Below are 3,474 nucleotides of genomic sequence, written 5' to 3' on the forward strand. Positions count from 1 at the left end.
TTTAAAGTTAATATTGTTATGTGTGAATTTGATCCTGTCATTATGATGTTAGCTGGTTATTTTGCTCGTTAGTTGATAAAGTTTCTTCCTAGCCTTGATGGTCTTTACAATTTGGCATGTTTTTGCAGTGGCTGGTACCGGTTGTTCCTTTCCATGTTTAGTGCTTCCTTCAGGAGCTCTTTTAGGGCAGGCCTGGTGGTGACAAAATCTCTCAGCATTTGCTTGTCTGTAAAGGATTTTATTTCTCCTTCACTTATGAAGTTTAGTTTGGCTGGATATGAAATTCTGGGTTGAAAATTCTTTTCTTTAAGAATGTTGAATATTGGCCCCCACTCTCTTCTGGCTTGTGGAGTTTCTGCTGAGAGATCCGCTGTTAGTCTGATGGACTTCCCTTTGTGGGTAACCTGACCCTTCTCTCTGGCTGCCCTTAACATTTTTTCCTTCATTTCAACTTCGGTGAATCTGACAATTATGTGTCTTGGAGTTGCTCTTCTCGAGGAGTATCTTTGTGGCGTTCTCTGTATTTCCTGAATCTGAATGTTGGCCTGCCTTGCTAGATTGGGGAAGTTCTCCTGGATAATGTCCTGCAGAGTGTTTTCCAACTTGGTTCCATTCTCCCCGTCACTTTCAGGTACACCAATCAGATGTAGATTTGGTCTTTTCACATAGTCCCATGTTTCTTGGAGGCTTTGTTCGTTTCTTTTCATTCTTTTTTCTCTAAACTTCCCTTCTTGCTTCATTTCATTCATTTCATCTTCCATCACTGATACCCTTTCTTCCAGTTGATTGCATCGGCTCCTGAGGCTTCTGCATTCTTCACGTAGTTCTTGAGCCTTGGCTTTCAGCTCCATCAGCTCCTTTAAGCACTTCTCTGTATTGGTTATTTTAGTTATACATTCATCTAAATTTTTTTCAAAGTTTTCAACTTCTTTGCCTTTGGTTTGAATTTCCTCCTGTAGCTTGGAGTAGTTTGATCGTCTGAAGCCTTCTTCTCTCAACTCGTCAAAGTTATTCTCTGTGCAGCTTTATTCTGTTGCTGGTGAGGAACTGTGTTCCTCTGGAGGAGGTGAGGCACTTTGCTTTTTAGAGTTTCCAGTTTTTCTGCTCTGTTTTTTCCCCATCTTTGTGGTTTTATCTACTTTTGGTCTTTGATGATGGTGATATACAGATGGGTTTTTGGTGTTAATGTCCTTTCTGTTTGTTAGTTTTCCTTCTAACAGACAGGACCCTCAGCTGCAGGTCTGTTGGAGTTTCCTAGAGGTCCACTCCAGGCCCTGTTTGCCTGCATAACAGCAGCGGTGGCTGCAGATCAGCGGAGTTTCGTTCACCACGAATGCTGCTGTCTGATCATTTCTCCGGAAGTTTTGTCTCAGAGGAGTACCCAGCCGTGTGAGGTGTCAGTCTGCCCCTACTGGGGGGTACCTCCCAGTTAGCCTGGTCGGGGGTCAGTGGTCAGGGACCCACTTGAGGAGGCAGTCTGCCCGTTCTCAGATCTCCAGCTGCATGCTGGGAGAACCACTGCTCTCTTCAAAGCTGTCAGACAGGGACATTTAAGTCTGCAGAGGTTACTGCTGTCTTTTTGTTTGTCTGTGCCCTGCCCCCAGAGGTGGAGCCTACAGAGGCAGGCAGGCCTCCTTGAGCTGTGGTGGGCTCCACCCAGTTGGTGCTTTCTGGCTGCTTTGTTTACCTAAGCAAGCCTGGGCAATGGCAGGTGCCCCTCCCCCAGCCTCGCTGCCGCCTTGCAGTTTGATCTCAGACTGCTGTGCTAGCAATCAGTGAGACTCCGTGGGCGTAGGACCCTCTGAGCCATGTGCGGGATATAATCTCCTGGTGCGCCATTTTTTAAGCCGGTCGGAAAAGTGCAGTAGTAGGGTGGGAGTGACCCGATTTTCCAGGTGCCATCTGTCACCCCTTTCTTTGACTAGGAAAGGGAACTCCCTGACCCCTTATGCTTCCTGAGTGAGACAATGCCTCGCCCTGCTTCGCCTCGTGCACGGTGCTCTGCACCCACTGTCCTGCGCCCACTGTCTGGCACTCCCTTGTGAGATGAACCTGGTATCTCAGATGGAAATGCAGAAATCACCCATCTTCTGCTTCGCTCACGCTGTTTTTGTCTAGTTTTAATGTTTTGATAATGCTGGCTTCATAGTATGAGTTGAGAAGTGCTCCCTTCTCTTCTAATTTTTGGCTAAGTTTGTGAAAGATTAGTGTTACTTCTTTAGGCATTAGAGTATACCAGTAGAGCCACCTGATCCTGTGCTTTCATTTGGGTGAGGCTTTTTGATTACTAATTCACTCTCTTTTCTTGCTAGAGAACTATTCAGAATTTCTGTTCTTTTTGAGTCAGTTTTAGTACTGAGTGATTTTCTTAGAAATTATCCATTTCATCTAGATTATCTAATTTGTTGGCACACAATTATTTATAGTATTCTTTTATAATTCTTTTTATTTCTGCAAGGTCCAAAATAATGACCCCTTCCTTCTTTCATAACTACTAATTTGGTTTTTCTCTCTTTCTTTTCTTTGTCAGCTTAACATTTGTCAATTTTGTTCATCTTTTCAAAGAACTAATTTTTGATTTTGTTGATTTCCTCTATTGTTTTTCTATTTTTTACTTCATTAATTCTCACTGTATTTTTATGATTTCTTCCTTCTTTTTCCCTTGGGGTTAGTTTGCTCTCCTTTTTCTAGTTTCCTAGGGTGGAAACTTAGGTTATTGATTTAAGATCTTTCTTCTTTTTCTATGTAGGCATTTACAGCTACACATTTTTTCACAGCACTATTTTCATAGTATGCCATTTGTTTTAGTATATTGTATTTTGTTTTCAGTAATCTCAAAATATTTTCTTGTTTCCCTTGTGATTTCTTCTTTCTTTCATTAATTATTTAGAATTGTGCAGGTTAATTTTTACAGTTTTTGATTTTCAATTTTTTCTAATGATTTCTAATTTTATTCCATTGTCAGAGATTATACTTAGTATGATTTCATTCTATTTAAATTTACAAAGGCTTTCATTATGGCCTATTATATGGTCTATCCTGGAGAATGTTCCTTCTGTATTTGAGAAGAATGTGCATTCTGCTGTTGTTGGGTCGAATGTTCTATACATGTCTGTTATGTTTAGTTGGTTTATTGTGTTGTTCAATTCCTCTATTTGCTTAGTTATCTCTGTTTTTCTAATACATTATACATTATCCAATTATCATTATTTAATTGTTTTTCTCTCTTTAATTGTGTACAAATTTGCTTTATGTATTTTGGGTCTCTGTTGTTGGGAGCATGCATGTTTATAATTATTTTGTCTTCTTTATGAATAGACTTCTTTATAGTTATAAAATGCCCTTCTTTGTCCTTAGTATTTTTTTTTACTTAAAGTCTATTTTGTCTGCTATTAGAATAGTTATTCCCATTCTCCTTTTATTACTGTTTACATTGTATGTTTTTCCCATCCTTTCACTTTTAACTTACTTTTG

General features: G+C 40.0%; 2 annotated features.

The window, feature by feature from the left end:
• Positions 1,222–1,723: an enhancer, noted in NCBI's record as "H3K4me1 hESC enhancer chr2:114859097-114859598 (GRCh37/hg19 assembly coordinates)". NCBI's record gives its function as "activates a minimal SCP1, AML or CMV promoter by ChIP-STARR-seq in naive H9 embryonic stem cells {active_cell/tissue: H9 hESC(naive)}" and the evidence as "EXISTENCE:reporter gene assay evidence [ECO:0000049][PMID:30033119]".
• Positions 1,724–2,223: an enhancer, noted in NCBI's record as "H3K4me1 hESC enhancer chr2:114859599-114860098 (GRCh37/hg19 assembly coordinates)". NCBI's record gives its function as "activates a minimal SCP1, AML or CMV promoter by ChIP-STARR-seq in naive H9 embryonic stem cells {active_cell/tissue: H9 hESC(naive)}" and the evidence as "EXISTENCE:reporter gene assay evidence [ECO:0000049][PMID:30033119]".

Source organism: Homo sapiens, chromosome 2 (genome assembly GCF_000001405.40).
Source record: "Homo sapiens chromosome 2, GRCh38.p14 Primary Assembly".
Classification (NCBI taxonomy): Eukaryota; Metazoa; Chordata; class Mammalia; order Primates; family Hominidae; genus Homo; species Homo sapiens.